This window comes from Homo sapiens, chromosome 22 (genome assembly GCF_000001405.40).
Source record: "Homo sapiens chromosome 22, GRCh38.p14 Primary Assembly".
In the NCBI taxonomy this organism is placed as follows: domain Eukaryota; kingdom Metazoa; phylum Chordata; class Mammalia; order Primates; family Hominidae; genus Homo; species Homo sapiens.
In genome coordinates, this window is record NC_000022.11 from 39909577 (window position 1) to 39925229 (window position 15653).

General features: G+C 42.5%; 1 protein-coding gene across 4 annotated transcripts in view, besides 2 other annotated features; it reads left to right on the plus strand.

Moving 5' to 3' along the window:
- Positions 1 to 15653, plus strand: part of GRAP2 (GRB2 related adaptor protein 2) — a 79902-nt gene that overhangs the window by 15757 nt on the left and 48492 nt on the right. The gene's annotated exons all lie outside the window — the stretch shown is intronic.
- Positions 606 to 915: an enhancer, noted in NCBI's record as "active region_19074". NCBI's record gives its function as "activates an Ori minimal core promoter by ATAC-STARR-seq in GM12878 lymphoblastoid cells {active_cell/tissue: GM12878}" and the evidence as "EXISTENCE:reporter gene assay evidence [ECO:0000049][PMID:35858748]".
- Positions 11502 to 11551: an enhancer, noted in NCBI's record as "active region_19075". NCBI's record gives its function as "activates an Ori minimal core promoter by ATAC-STARR-seq in GM12878 lymphoblastoid cells {active_cell/tissue: GM12878}" and the evidence as "EXISTENCE:reporter gene assay evidence [ECO:0000049][PMID:35858748]".

Sequence of the window (15653 nt, forward strand, 5' to 3'; positions counted from 1 at the left end):
GTCCCTAGCTCACAGGTATGCAGACGTACTGAGAACACTTTGGGAAATAAAAGCAAAAAAAACATTGGGTCCTTTCCCCTAAGGAATGAACAGTGTATTTGGGAAACTAGGAAAAACAAACAAACAAAAAAATGGTACCACAATGCAAAACTGATGAGGAGATTAAAAAACAGCTCAAGATGGAGATTTTTAGAAAGAACTTCTTGAAGGAGGTGCATCTGTAGGCTGAGAGAGATGGTTTAGCAAGCAGGCATCAATGCATCCACAAAGCTTTACACTTCAAGGAAATCATAGGAGAAACAGGGTCTTCTTTGCTGAAGATCTGTTTATTTTGCAAACAACAAAGAGTCAGAAGAGCCATGTGAAGTTTCCATGGGGAATCCAGAAACTAAACTTCTGCCACTGGAAATTACCTCAAGATCTTTTCCCAGATAGCCTGCTCTTCCCCTGCTTCCAATCATGTCCCTCAAAGTCTTCTTTTTCAAGCATAAATATCCTTAGTTCTTGTAACCACTCCTCCTATGAGGCAGTTTTGCGTGCTGCCATTATTTTAAGCACCCGCCTCTGATTGGACTCTAGCTTAGGGCCTCCCCTAAGTCACGGGACTCAGAACGGAGCAACGCTCTCCAGGAGTGATCTGAGGATGCAGAACACCATGGGGTAGTTGCCTCCCTTGATCTGTAGCCTATACTTCTATTAATATGGCCCATGATTGCATGAGCCCTTTTGGCACCCATGTCACACTGCTGACTCATATCGAAATTGTGGTCAACTAAAACCCATGAGTTCCCATGCACTACTACTAAGCCAGATCTTTCTTTCTTTTTCTTTTCTTTTTTTCTTTTTTTTTGAGACCAAGTCTCGCTCTGTCGCCCAGGCTGGAGTGCAGTGGCGCAATCTCGGCTCACTGCAACCTCTGCCTCGTGAGTTCAAGTGATTCTCCTGCCTCAGCCTCCCGAGTAGCTGGGATTACAGGCGCCCGCCACCACGCCCGGCTAATTTTTGTATTTTTAGTAGAGACGGGGTTTCACCATGTTGGTCAGGCTGGTCTTGAACTCCTGACATTGTGATCCGCCTGCCTCGGCCTCGCAAAGTGCTGGGATTACAGGCATGAGCCACCATGCCCAGCCAGATCTTTCTTATTCTGTACTTACACTGTTGATTTAAAAAAAAAAAAAAACCCTAGGACAGAGGTTTAAATGTAAAGACATTTATTTCTATTTCACTCGATCATTTTGATAACAACTTGTCCAAATCTTTCAGAGCTAGGGTATTAGCTTCCCCTCCCTGCAGGTGAGTACTTACCTGCTGGTGCAGCTAATCTCATGATGGATCTCTGGCCTCTAAAGGGCCAGAACTTCATTGTCTCTTTCCTATCCATAAATTCTCTGCAACCGTGGATGAATCTGCATCCTTAGACAAACTAGTGGGCCTCAATCTTCCTAAGTAAGATAGGAATAAGTGTGAATGGCCATTTCCTCCTTGCGGTGAGGATATGCGACAATGAGTTCGATGTCTGCAAAACCCTAAGGAAATGTCACTCAGAGGCAGCATTAGATGAGGAGAGAAAAAGTTTATTTCAGGCTCTCAGCAGCTTTCAGAAGACTTGATTATCCTGATCACTACGTGTGAAAGTTAATGACTTCATTTTTGCAGTTATTTTAAAAATATAACTGGTTTATCTGATTTTTGGTTGTAGTAACATCACGTGATGGTCAGTATCATTTTACACATTATTTGTAATGTGAGCAAGTGCCATAAAGCATATCTGCAAGACTCATTTAAAATGACTCTCTTCCCTCCATCACCTCCCCCAGCCCCATCCTCAACTCTACCCTCTTCTGTTTGTAATACGGGACTACAAAGATCTTATAGTTTAGGTTTCCGTCAGACTTTTGGAAACCTTTAAAAGACTTACCAAGCTAGCTTAGAAGTTCATAGATTTTCATCCCTGGCCAGCGCAGAGAGCTCACAGGTAACTTGTATAATATTTATCATTTCAAGCTCATAGAAATGTCATATTTCAAAACACATCCCTGAGAGCAGTTTTTTTGTTCCTTATAGACAGGTGCAGGGAACATCCAAATTTTTCTAGTCTGCCATTCTAATGCACATTGTGATGTTGCTCTTGTGACCCTATAATTATTAATTTTCCAGTAGCCCCTCCCCAACCTTTCACGTGATTTTTAATCCAGGGCCTGGGCACTCGTAGCAGAGTGTGATCCTAGGACCAGCAGCAACGGCACCGCCGGGGAGCCTGTTAGAAGTGAGGATCTCAGACCCTGCCTCAAACCTATTGAATCAGAATCTAAACTGTGAAAAAATTCCCCTGGTGATTCTTATGCACAGTAAAATCTGAGAAGAACAGATCTAGAGTGAAGGGATTTTCACTCCCATTTTACCCGCTGTAGACCTTATGTTGTAATACAAAACTTACAAACTTCCATTTGGTGTTTATTAAAAGGTTAGAGTCCTTAGTTAAAATGTTACCAGATTCAAATGTTCTGTTTATATATTCAGCTATTTCTCAGTGTATGTAACTGGCTTTAAAATACTCTTGTTGACCAGGCATGGTGGCTCACGCCTGTAATCCCAACCCTTTGGGAGGCCAGGGTGGGAGGATTGCTTGAGCTCAGGAGTTTGAGGCCAGCCTGGGCAACATAGCGAGATCACATCTCTACAAAAAATTAAAAATTAGCCAGGGATGGTGATGCATGCCTGTAGTCCTAGCTACAGGAGGCTGAGGCAGGAGGATCACTTGAGCCCAGGAGTTTGAAGTTGTAATGAGATATGACTGAGATACTGTACTCCATCCAGCCTGGGTGACATAGTGAGACCTTGTCTCTGGAAAAAAAGTACTCTTGCCTTTCTGGGTTCTTGTGGAGCAGGGGTTCTCCCCCACTCCCACCAGGGACATTTGGCAATGCCAGGAAACATTTTTTGTCACAGTTTGCAGGGAGAGGTCCTACTGGTGGGTAGAAGCTAGGGATGCTGCTGAGAATCCTACAATGCACAGGATGGGCCCCCACAACAAGGACTTAACTGGCCCCAAATGTCAATAGTGACAAGGTTGGAAAACACCAGTATATGATTTATAAAGACTCAGATGTGCGACCATAAACCATAGAATGCCACAGGAAAATAGAGTCACGTGGCATGTCACTATATGACCAGGCAAAGAACAAATAGACCAGCAGTGGCCGGAGTGATGGTGGTGGGGTTGTGAGTGGCAGGGAATGGAAAATCCAGCCACAGATGAAAGGAGACATCTAGGACCAATGCTAACTGGTACTCCGTGCACAAAGGCAGTGAGCTCTAGAGGACAGGGCTAAAAGGCCGGTCACGGTGGCTCACACCTGTAATCCCAGCACTTTGGGTGTCCGAGGCGGGTGGATCATCTGAGGTCAGGAGTTCGAGACCAGCCTGGCCAACATGGTGAAACCCCGTCTCTACTAAAAATACAAAAATTAGCTAGGCATGGTGGCGGGCGCCTGTAATCCCAGCTACTCGGGTGGCTGAGGTGGGAGAATCGCTTATACCTAGGAGCTGGAGGTTGCAGTGAGCAGAGATTGCACCACTGCACTACAGCCTGGGTGACAGAGCAAGACTCCATCTCAAAAAAAAAAAAAAAAAAAGAGGACAGGGCTGATGTTCAGGGACTGGACACCAGGTATGAGCCCCAGGAGGGGTGGAAGGAGGTGTGGGAGAAATAGAGAGAGAGAAGGCTTCAGTTCTAGAGTGGATACCAGGTATGATCTCAAAATCGTGTTAGACATGGAAAACAAGAAAGGATTTCAAGTATTAGCATAGGAGTACACAGGCAGATTTCAGGTAAATCCAGTAAGATGAAGACTCAGGAACAAGGCAGAATCCTGCTTGCTAGAACTGGGGCGCCTCAGAGCCAGGCCAGCAGCAGGCATGACCGATGCTGAGTCAGCCAAGTGTTCAACTAGAGTGAGCTTCTTAAATCCCTCCCAACTGAGAAGGGGCTTAGTGCTGAGTCTACAGCATGGTTGACTTGCAAGAAGGGGTCAAGGGCTCCCAGCTATGGAGAAAGGTAGACCAGAAGTAAGCCAGAAGTAGGCCAGTGACAGTGGCCACTGAAAAATCACGGGATAAGAAATGGAACAGAACTCGAGAGGTCCTCTGGGTCATTCCCCTACTGCAGCGTGCACCTAAATCATTTCAGAAAGATTATCTACGCTTCAACTTTAACATTTTCAGAGAAAGATTTCTTAAAGACCAGTGGGTGCCTTATAATCCATCGAAGTCACAGCTTCTTCCCCATTTCTAACCCTAAACACCTCTTCCTGGGATGTAAAGCGAGTGTCTTTCATCCCACCCTGCACACAGTGTGATTTCTATCATTCAGTAATGATAAAGAACACAAACTGCCGTCTGCAACTGCCAAGCACAGCCACCCCTTTTCCAGGCTAAAGCATCTCAATTCCATTAGTCTGTTGCCCTGAGAGTCTCTCCCTGACCTTTTAATCCCCTCATTATCCTCTGGACCTGCTCCAAGCCTTGCCTGCTTGAAATAGTTACCACCAAGTATGTATTTGTTAAATAAAAGCTGTGTGCAGACTGCCCTTTTGCCATGGAACACAAAGGAGGAGGAATATAAAAGAATATACACAGTTTTGTTGGTTTTTATTAGTCTCTCTCCTCTCTCTCCAAGGAGTTGTCAATCTTCTCTGCACTTATAGTCTAGTTGGAGCACTAGTCCTTAGGCTAAATTCCACCAAAACATTTTGGTTGTTCAGCAAACGCTTTCACTGTGACCCTCACCTAAGAACAATAGAGTACACCATCAAATGGGATAGCTCTAATGTGAATTTAGCTCTAAATAAAACTAGGATAAATGCATTTGTTCAGTTCTAGAGAAGGCATCATACTGTCCTGTGGATTTTTCATTTCGAATGAGCTGCAAAACAAAGTTCTTTTCCATGGAAAGGATTTACTCAACTGAATTCACTCACTTTGCTGTAGCTGGATTAATCTCATTTCACATCATGTCTCTAAGTAGAAAAGTAAACTGATTTACAGCAGGCTAAGTGGATATGTTGATGCATCCAACATCAGTGAGATTTATTCCAACTAGATTGCAACCAGAAAATGGTGTCCTGGTTGTTTTTGCTTCTATAAAGTAGTCGCAAAAGTGCACCACTTTCGTACTCGATCTGAAAAACAGTTTATCAAAGTTACAACAGATGAGGTATTGTGGGATGCGACAGAACGTACGTACGTCAAATGAAATGAGCATTTCTGCCTTCCCAGATCTTGAAATGGTCTTTTGCCCCACAACCTTATAAAAAAAAATATTCATTTTAGGCCAGGCACGGTGGCTCACACCTGTAATCCCAGCACTCTGGGAGGCTGAGGCAGGTGGATCACTCGAAGTCTGGAGTTGAAGACCAGCCTGGCCAACATGGTGAAACCCCATCTCTACTAAAAATACAAAAATTAGCTGGATGTGGTGGTGGGTGCCTGTAATCCCAGCTACTCAGGAGGCCGAGGTGGGAGAATCACTTGAACCCGGGAGGCAGAGGCTGCAGTGAGCCAAGATCACACCACTACACTCCAGCCTGGGCGACAGAGTCAGACTCCATCTCAAAAAAAAAAAAAAAAAGAAAAGAAAAAAAAGAAATAAATAAATAAAATCATTTTATTCTATCCCCATGTTCTGAAAGCCACCCTTTTTTATTTTTGAGTTGTGTTTCACGGGGCACTGCTCAAGGTAAACACCCAGCCCCACTTGTGGTTGAGCAGGCATTGACCCCACACTGGCTCCCTGCCCTGGAGCCAGCCACCACCCTGTTCCTTGCTCCACCTTCTGCTTTCTGCAGCACACTCTTTCTTCTTTTTCTTCTGCATCACTCTGCATTTCCAAAGCCACAATCGTGTCATCCTCTCGGGACTCTCAGTCTCTGTCTATGCTGGTGCCCTCTCCTTTGTCTCTCCCAGATTGCTGACTTTATTCCAGCTTCTGCTTCTAACACAATAAGACTGCTATTGGAAATGTTTTTCTGACTTCTATAGCTGGCAGTTTCTATAAGCAGAAGTTACTTTCAAAGGAAAGAACTTGTGGAGATGAGCCTGGGGTGTCACAGGGCTGTTACATGGGTCAAATGTAATAACGTGTATCAAAAAGCAATTTGTAAACTGTAACATGCTCTTCAAAAGTAAATTATTACTGTATTATATGACTTTAGGGTTTAAAAAGCAGCTGGATGATATGTAAAAATTCAAGGCTCAGTAGCATCATTGGAAAAGAAAATTAGAAAATGGGGAGGGGCACGGACGCTTCCATCAACAAGCTAGGGGCCTCTCAACATTTTTTCCAGCCAAAGCACACCCATTTAGCTGAGAGCATACACTCTCTTCTGAGGACTGCCTGCTCACCATTCTGGACCTAAGGCCTTCCCTCTTGCTTAAGCTCCCCCATCCCTCTCATCGCCACCTTCCCAAATCCTAGCTGACCCCAAGGGCTAACCCCCAATCCACCCTCCCTTCCCAGCTCTGCCCCAGATTAAGTGAATCTCTTTCTCTCCAGCACTCAGTCTTATGTTAGAATTATTTATGTGGGCATTGATCTTCCTGGATTGACTGTGACCTGCTGAAGGCAGCGGTGGTCCTGGCATCTGCCACAGCCCCCTCCCCCAACAGCACTTCATCACCTCCGTGAACGGAAGTGAATGGAAGGAACAGCTCAATTAGGATGGCAGAGGATCAAGGAGAGAATTCCACGGACCCAAAACATCCTGCAAAAAGGCTTTGTCCCCAGAGGTTGGTCTTCAATTTGGAAAAATTCCTACCTGAGCAACTGTAGGACCCCTCTGAAATGGAACAGGGTCTATTAGACTCATAAAAAGCCTCAGTGATGAGTTGGTTATTATTATTCTCTTTACTTTTCTGTACATTTAAAGTGTTTTATATTTTAAATTGAATGTAAAAAGATCCCATCCTATTTAAAAGTTAGTGAGTTGAATAAGTTTCATTATAACTTGATTTTCTTCCTAAAGGTTTTCCTATAGTTCAAATTATAAAAGTCATTCTTAGATTCCCAGCTTAGTTCCCCCATGAAATCACGAGTTCTTAGACTGTGTTTCACACAATGCCAGGTCACATTGCACCCTTACTGAAAGGAACTTCTTGTGCAGAGTGCGGGGCTCTTGGAGAAAGAAAAGTACCACTTTTTTAGCACATTAAAAACAAATCCTTGAGCTGTTTTATTATTTTAATACTTTACCTTTAGTGGAGCAGAAATGATTTATTTGATGGTTTTGGCAGGTGATTTTTTTTTTCGGAATCTTCTTTAACACTATTAGCCATGTAACTATTGCCAAGTACATAATAAGTACTCAATAATTATTATTATCTTTTAATTAAAATGTGATGCACTTCTAAACTAAAGGTAACTTCAGTCATGTAGAATAGAAAGCAATGGGTGGAGCTTCCAATTGCTTCTCTTTGGTATTCATTAGAAATCATTTTTGAAACTGAGAAGTTGGGGGAAAGATCAGACATTTTTATGGAAACTGCATTGATGACAGCAGAGTGTAATTTTGTTGGTAGTGATTTGATACACAATTATTTGAGGGATTTACTGTGCTCATGGATTAGCGCTGTGTTGTTACTGTAACAGAGGATTGGCGCAGAGCCCTGGCCCAGTGCAAAGCTCTCTAACATCGTTTCTCTTCCTTCATCAGCAGCCCAAAGCCCCCCTCTCTACAACTCCATGCAGCACAGTCCTGGCACAAACCCCTAACCTGAAATTCCAGCCAATTTCACTAACAACACGCCTCTCCCCTTCACCTGCCAGATGCTTCTCGTTCTCAGACACTGCACCCTGAAATTGGGAGCTTTCACTGAGTTAAAAAGGCAAATATAGAATTACCTAGCTGTATCAGTATTTTAAGTGCACTTGTAGACTTAAATGAGAGCTCTTGTACAAAACCACTTGTATTCTTTCTTAAGATATGCTAATTTTTTTCTCTCTTTGATTGAACTGTTGACCTTCTGGATATATGACTAGTTATTACTTCAAGTATGTTTGGAACTATTCTTGCCCTAACTGTTCTAAAATGTAATTAGCATTGAGACATTATTGTAGAAGCACAGCACCTGGGGCTGGGATCTCATTAGATGGCAAAAATTGAGCAGAATTGTGCATGCTCCATGCTCAAAATATCTCTAAGAAAAATTAATGGCATTAGGGGGAAAGTTAAAATTGGTGATTTCGTAGGCCCTTTCTTGCTCACATATTTGATTCGTATAAGGATCCAAACAGAAAGGAGATTGTGGTTCTTCTGTTTAAAAAATGAAGACAACTCTGCTTTCTTAGAACTCTTCTTATGTAATGTGGCTGCTGTCACATCTCTGGGTCAACCAAAACCAAAATAATACATTTTCTGGCTCTAGCTTTTTCCCCCCTCAAGAAATGCATAGCATTTTTAGGCATTATCTGATTTTTCCTTGCAACAACAGATGTTACAGAGAATGAATATTCTGTAAGAGGTAGTTAACAAAGTGTGGAAAAACTGAGGCCCAAAGAGGTACTATAACTCACGGGTTTTTCACGCTCCTCCCTGAACATTCCCGCATCTCTTCTACTGGGGAGGGAGCTCTTTATTTTCTGAATTGAAAACCATTTCATGCCTCCTGCTCAGCTATTTCAGTACTGGCTCCTAAGTTTGGCACCAATCCCAACTGTTATGAAATCGCAGACGAATAATAACGAAGTTCTTCATTGCTGGGATCCCAAAAGGTTATCATTTCGAGTTCATTGCAGGGCACTTTAGACGTCCATATTGGGCCCTAAATGATTGGAACCATCAGGAGAGGGCTTGCCTGACTCTGCCATTCACCTCATTTGTAAGTCTCTGCCGTGTTTCGACACTGAGTTGTGTCTTGTTGTTTAAAAATAACTTCTCATTATAATAACATTTTCCCTTAATTGAAAAAATATTTCTGACCTGAATTTATTATTGTCATAGCTGTGTGAGCAAGCAGAGTCTTGTTTGCCTCTACAATATATTAATAATGTATTAATTAGCTTCCCAGTGCTGCCCAAACAAGGAACAAAAAGGATTTATCTAAATCATGAAAACTGAAGTGAAGCGAACACTTTGGTAATTATATTTTAAGGGCAGTCTCAGCATTTGATAGTGTGGCAAATTTTTGTCCTGCCTTTTGAGAGAAGATAACCAAAAACACCACTCAATTAACAAAACGTTGTTTAGTACCTACTATGCACAAAGTCTGAGAGGTAAAAGAGGTTAAGACAAATAAAATTGTCCAATTTATTTTTATGGCCATAGTTAAAAGGCAATAAAGGCAAGACACTGTGAGTATTTTGATTTAGCTACAATTAGCTGAAATATACTACATCAAATCATATGAAATTGACAATATCTGGGGGCTGGCTGCCGTGACTCATGCCTGTAATCCCAGCACTTTTGGGGCCCAGGATAATCACTTGAGGCCAGGAGTTCAAGGCTACAGTGAGCCAGGGTTGTACCACGGCACTCCAGCCTGGGCCACAGTGTGACCCTGTCTCTAAAGAAATAAAAATAAAAATAAATAGAAGATATTGACAATAGCTGACCCTATTTTTTACCCCAAAAGTGGTGATTTTATATAATTTAATCTAATATTAAGGTATTCTTGTCATACTGTACCAGCTCCTAAACATTATACTTTTCATTTTACTTCTATTTCTAAGCTATCATTATTACAACAACCAAGAGAAGGTAAATACAGGTCAGAGATTTGACTCCTGTTTTTTGTATGTATTTATTTTTGTAGATTCACAAATAACTTATATTTTGCAGTTTTAAGGTTTCTAATTATATTAGACCCTGTTTTTTATTTTATTTAGAGTCATTGTCCTTGCTGCCTGTCCTTCACATGTGACAAGTCAATTCTTCATGCCATTTCCTTCACAATCTTCATGCAAACTCATCATCTCCATTTCCATCTATTCTTCAGAGATGTATGATTGCAGAAAACTCCCCTTTTTTGAAATATTGCTCAATAGAGATTAAATCTAACACCCAGTTTTACCTGTCTATCCTTGAATTACAGGTTACTGAGAAGTCAGAACAGATAGCCATAGAAGTACCCCACTAAATCCATTCTTCTATCTCCTTCAATATTTGACAAATATTTACTAAGCATCTATCTTGAGCAAGCATTGGAGTAAGTCCTCCCATAAATATGAAGTTGTGTAAATAAGGATGCATGCATTCATGTAAATACAAGTTTAATGCTGGATATATATTGTTTTAAGTGCCTGATATGTATTAGTCTATTTATTCCTATCTAAGGGGATAAGTGCCATTGTTGTTTCCATCTTAAAGATGAGGAAACTGAGGCCAGAGAGATTATACGAACTCCTAAAACCCTAACTCTTAACCACAGCATTCAGAATCTATCTGGTTGTAGTGGAGGACCCAATGTCAAAAAAGCAAGTGCTTTTCCCAGACCATGAACACAATGTGTGACAAATTAGCAGTTCTTCCCCTTGCCCTAAGATAGTAAATATCCACCCAGGCCAACTTGTGTCTGTCAGAGAACAAAGAGTGGGCTTGTCACACTGTTTTCTCCCAAGAGGGTCCATCTGCCTCCGCTCCTTTGGTACACGCTAGGGGACACACACTGTCCAGCATATTCTTGCAGAGTCATATCTTACCCCACATCTTATCACAACCCTGCTGAATGTCAGGCACTATCAAGAAAATGTTCACTCATCTTCTTCCCGTTATGCCCAATGTGTGAACTGATAACACATCTAAATTCAAAGAAAATCAACAGACATCACCTCAATCAACCTGAAAAGTCTGGTGACTCATTCCCACCCTTCTCACGGGGCTCCTGCTGGGCTGCCTGGTTCTCCGGAACCAGCCTCCAGGCCTCCTGCAGCCGGGGTGCAGCTCAGTGTTCGAGCCCCCTCTCTGCTGCCCATCAGATGAGTGTTGACTTTCTTTGGCACAGGCATTTGAGTTGCATTTGAATTGCAGAACATGCTGCCCCCATTCTGTGCTGACTGTGACCCCACTTCATGTGCCCCAGAGGCAGGCTAAACAAGCTTGCCTTGGAAAAAATAACAGGGAAGAAGATGCTGACTCTCCAACCCCCAGAGTAAGTTCCGTCACTCTGGAGGTAAAGTCATAATATCTAAATATGGCTCGATTCATGTCAGGTCTTATAAATACACACACACACGTGGATGCTGAAACCGTGCATGCCCTGACAGCCAAAAAAAAAGTCAAAACGACTTACTGTCTCATTAGCAGGACAAGACCTGATAGGCCAGCTCACCAGAATAAAGAATACAAAAAATGGGTATTTAACTTCTCTACACAGACACACACACACACACACACACACACACACACACACACACACACACAATCTGATGTAACGACCTCAAGAGAGCTGGTTGCCCTGGCAATGAAGAATCGTTTGTATATTCAAGGATTTTCTTGTTTAAATTTAAGCTAGCCACTTGAACTTCTCGAGCTTTCTTGAGCTTAGCTTCAGGCCTCCATCCCCAGACAGAGGTCTGACATCTATGTCAGCCTCTAGCAAGGCAGGAAGCTTAGAAGTCGGACCAAAACCTCACAAGCCAGCCAGCCTGGATTTGAATTTCAGCTCTATGGTTTCTCAGCTGTGTGACCTGGGTTAGCTGCTTAACCACCTTGAACCTCTATTTCCTCACCTGTACAATGGGAATAATAAAATTAAAACAAACTTGCATGGGTTCATTATGAAAATTAGATTGATTGATGACATAATACATAGCAAGCATTTAGAGCTGTGCCTGATTCCGAATGTGAGTTATCTGTAATAGTGACTTGAAATGGGTTTACACTGCCTGGCAGGAAACCATTCAATTCCTTTTTGTTTTTGACTTTAATCTTTGAAGCGCTTTCATCTCATTTCTTCTTATTTTGTGTTTGTGGAGAAGGAGGATGTTTAGCCATCCTTGGAGTACAATCTTTTATTAAAAACCATTATTAAGTCTCTTCAAGTTTCTCTTTTGTAGTAAATGATCTAGATTACTTAATGGTTCTGTTTTACATGTTTTAATCATTTATTTGAACCATCTCCAGATGTAGTACACACAGAAATATTGTCTAGGAAAATGTGTTACTGAAATTCCTTATCATCTGTGGTCCATTAGCTCAAATGTTTAAAACCCATTGTTTTTATTTTTATTATTTATTTATTTAGTTATTTTTGCAAGACAGGGTCTCACTCTTTTGCCCAGGCTAGAGTGCAGTGGCACAATTATAGTTCATTGCAGGCTCGAACTCCTGGGCTCAAGCAATCCTCCAGCCTAAGCCTCCCCAAAACTTCTTATTCTTAAGAGCAAAGTTGAGTTCCATCATATTGTCAGTTGGTTTCACTCCATCATATTGCCAAAACCACCTAATTCTCAGATGCATAGTTTAGCACAAGCCAAACCAGAAGAGACCATAGGTCATTCATTCATTATTCATTCAACATTTACTAAGTGACTGCTGTATGCCAGAGGCTGGGCTATGCTGTAAAGTCACAAAGAAGATACTTCTCAGTTGGGAGAGCTTACAGCTTGAGAGAGAAGACACACAAGCAAACAAATCATTACAAATGCCTTTCCATTGGGTGCCATACTTGAAATGAGAAGATGAGGCCAGGGTACCCTTGGGGCAGAAGGGAGGGAGGATTAAGCTCAGGGAACAGCTTTACAGAGAAGGTAACATTTGCACCATATTAAAGGATGGCAAGAATTGAGGAGTACAAAAAGGAGAATAGTCCAAGAAGAAACACTCAGGGATGATTTGCACATTGTAAATTTAGGTAACCTTACATGCCTTACATGGGGCTGCTGTGACTGAGGCACAGGGTCAAGGAAGGGAGCAGAGTCATAAAGCTACCCAGGTCAGCCAAGGCCAGGCTAGGAGGCCTGAGCTTTATCCTGCAGGTGTGCAGAGCCAGAGGAGAGTGCAAGAAGAGACATGGCACAGTCTGATCTGTTTTGCACAAATCACTCTGGAAGCAATGAGGAGGGGAGAATGGAGGTATTTGAGCCTAGAGTCAGGAAGGAGAAGTAGGATGCCAGGGTTGTGGGGAAAGACGATAAAGCCCACACAAAGGAGGGCTGATGGAAAGATGGAAATCAATTTCAGGTATATTTAGGCCAGGTGCGGTGGCTCGCGCCTGTAATCCCCACACTTTGGGACGCCGAGGCAGGTGGATTGCCTGAGCTCAGGAGCTCACAACCAGCCTGGGCAACATGGTGAAACCCCGTTCTACTAAAATACAAAAAATTAGCTGGGCATGGCGGCATGCGCCTGTAGTCCCAGCTATTCGGGAGGCTGAGGCAGGAGAATTGCTTGAACCTAGGAGGCGGAGGTTGCAGTGAGCCGAGATTGCTCCACTGTACTCCAGCCTGGGCGACAGAGTGAGATTCAGTTAAAAAAAAAAAAAAAAATTCAGGTATATTTAAAATATAGTGTTTAGAGACCCATTAGTGGAAGATACCAGATTTGAGAAAGGGGAGGAAAAGACACGGAGGAGTCCAGAAGAAATTTCCAGATTTCTGGCCTGGATAACTGTGAGGGCAGTGGTGCCAGATAGTGCCAGAATGAAATATATAGATTGGCACAAATCCATCTCTCAGAAATGCACCTCTGAGACATCTGTTCTGCTGAAGGTCAGTAGGGAAGGCCAACTTCATGTGCAAAGAGCAATATGTGTGTATTTCTTACTAGCTATTCTTTTTAAAATACTTCTTAATATATGGGACATACATGAGCTAAGATAGTATTCATGCAGGAGGTTTCATTTTTCATTTTCTGGCAATTGTGTTTTCAAATATGAGATGCTAGCATTATTTCAGTTATCTATGCCTAGCATAGTATATATCTACGGTTCAAGATTATTAATTGTCTCCCCTGCCTCCCCACTAGAAGGTAAGCTTTCTGAAGCCAGGGATTTTGTCTCTTTTGTCCTCATCTCCATTCCTAGCCCTTAAAACTAAGTTTGACTCCCAATTATCGAGTAAATGATTGAATTTCCATCTGAGTAAAAAGAAACAGTCATTTCCTTTACTAATGAGGAAAGAAAAGGAAAACAACAAACAAATCTGGACTTAAAACAGTTTTTACAAAAAGATCCAATTTGCAAAAATGGAACTGAAGTTTAAAAGCTACTTTTCTCCCTGCAGCTCTACTTCTGGGAAAGTCACAGCTGCCAGCTTAGATGGTGGTTTTCACTGCCCGGTTACAAATTCTGCACAGTTGTACATATTGGCAGGGCTCAGCTTCCTTAAATGCCATTGGATCAGTAGGGAAATGGTGATTTTCCTTATTGATTTAATGCCAGTTCCTCTTTTATGAAAAATCCCACGTGCTGCTCACTGGCGTATGTACCATAAAAACTGAACGTAGGGGGCCAGAAATTAAGTAAGTCACTCATGTTCTTCTCCAGCCATGTGACGTTAAACCATCTCTACTTTCAGGCTGGAGTGTTCAATCATTCTCCCTTTAAATTTAGCAGAGTGATTATTCCTCCTGGTGGATTGCACATATGCTCCTTTGATCTATGAAATACTCATTCTGGATGAACTTTAAGCTCCCAGGAAATGCATGTAAAATACTGTTTATAAATCGCGGGAGAAATGTTTCACATTCTTATTACTCCCAAGTAATCATACCAAGCCTCTCTCTCCAAGATTCGCTTTTTTTCCTAGAAGAGGGAAAAAGAACTTCGGGCAGTAGCACTGTGACAATCATCACCACGGTCGTACTTTCCATGAGTTTTACGCAGTAGGCTCACGGAAGTGACAATGCATGGTCGGGCGCGGTGGCTCATGCCTGTAATCCCAACACTTCGGGAGGCCGAAGTGGGTGGATCAACTGAGGTCAGGAGTTCAAGACCACCCTGGCCAACATAGTGAAACCCTATCTCTACTAAAAATACAAAAGATTAGCCGGACGTGGTGGTGGGCGCCTGCAATCCTAGCTACTCGGGAGGCTGAGGCAGGATAATCACTTCAACCCGGGCGGCGGAGGTTGCAGTGAGCCAAGATTATACCACTACACTCTAGCCTGGGTGACAAAACGAGACTCCGTCTCAAAAAAAAAAAGAAGTGACAATGTAGGATACCCATTCATCAGCAAATATTTAATGTGAGCAGGACAATGTGCTAAGTCCATAGACTGCAAAGAGGAGTGAGGCTGGGTTCCCATCCTCTGGGGCTTACAAGGTAGCTGGAGAAGTAAAACTCAAACCACAAAGTGAAGTTAATAGTCACCAATGAACAACATAGTAAGCTCTGCACTGGTTCAGAAGAGGACAGGAGTAACAAGACAGTAATCCTAAAGGAGATGGACTTGAATTTGAGCTGGACCTGAAGAGTCAGGAGCTAGAGTGAGTAAAGGCAGAGTGGTGGGAACATTTGTGAATCAAAGCTCAGGTGGGGGTTACGGCAGGCAGGGTGGGGATAGACTGAGGATGACTTTGAATGCCATGCCACTCTAAGGACTTTGGACTTGACTCTACAAGCAAGGTGGAATTATTAAGAGATTTTGAGTAGAAATGATGTGAGCTGAACAGTGCTTTTGAGAAACTAAATCTAGCAGGGATCAGTGCTCCAAATTAAT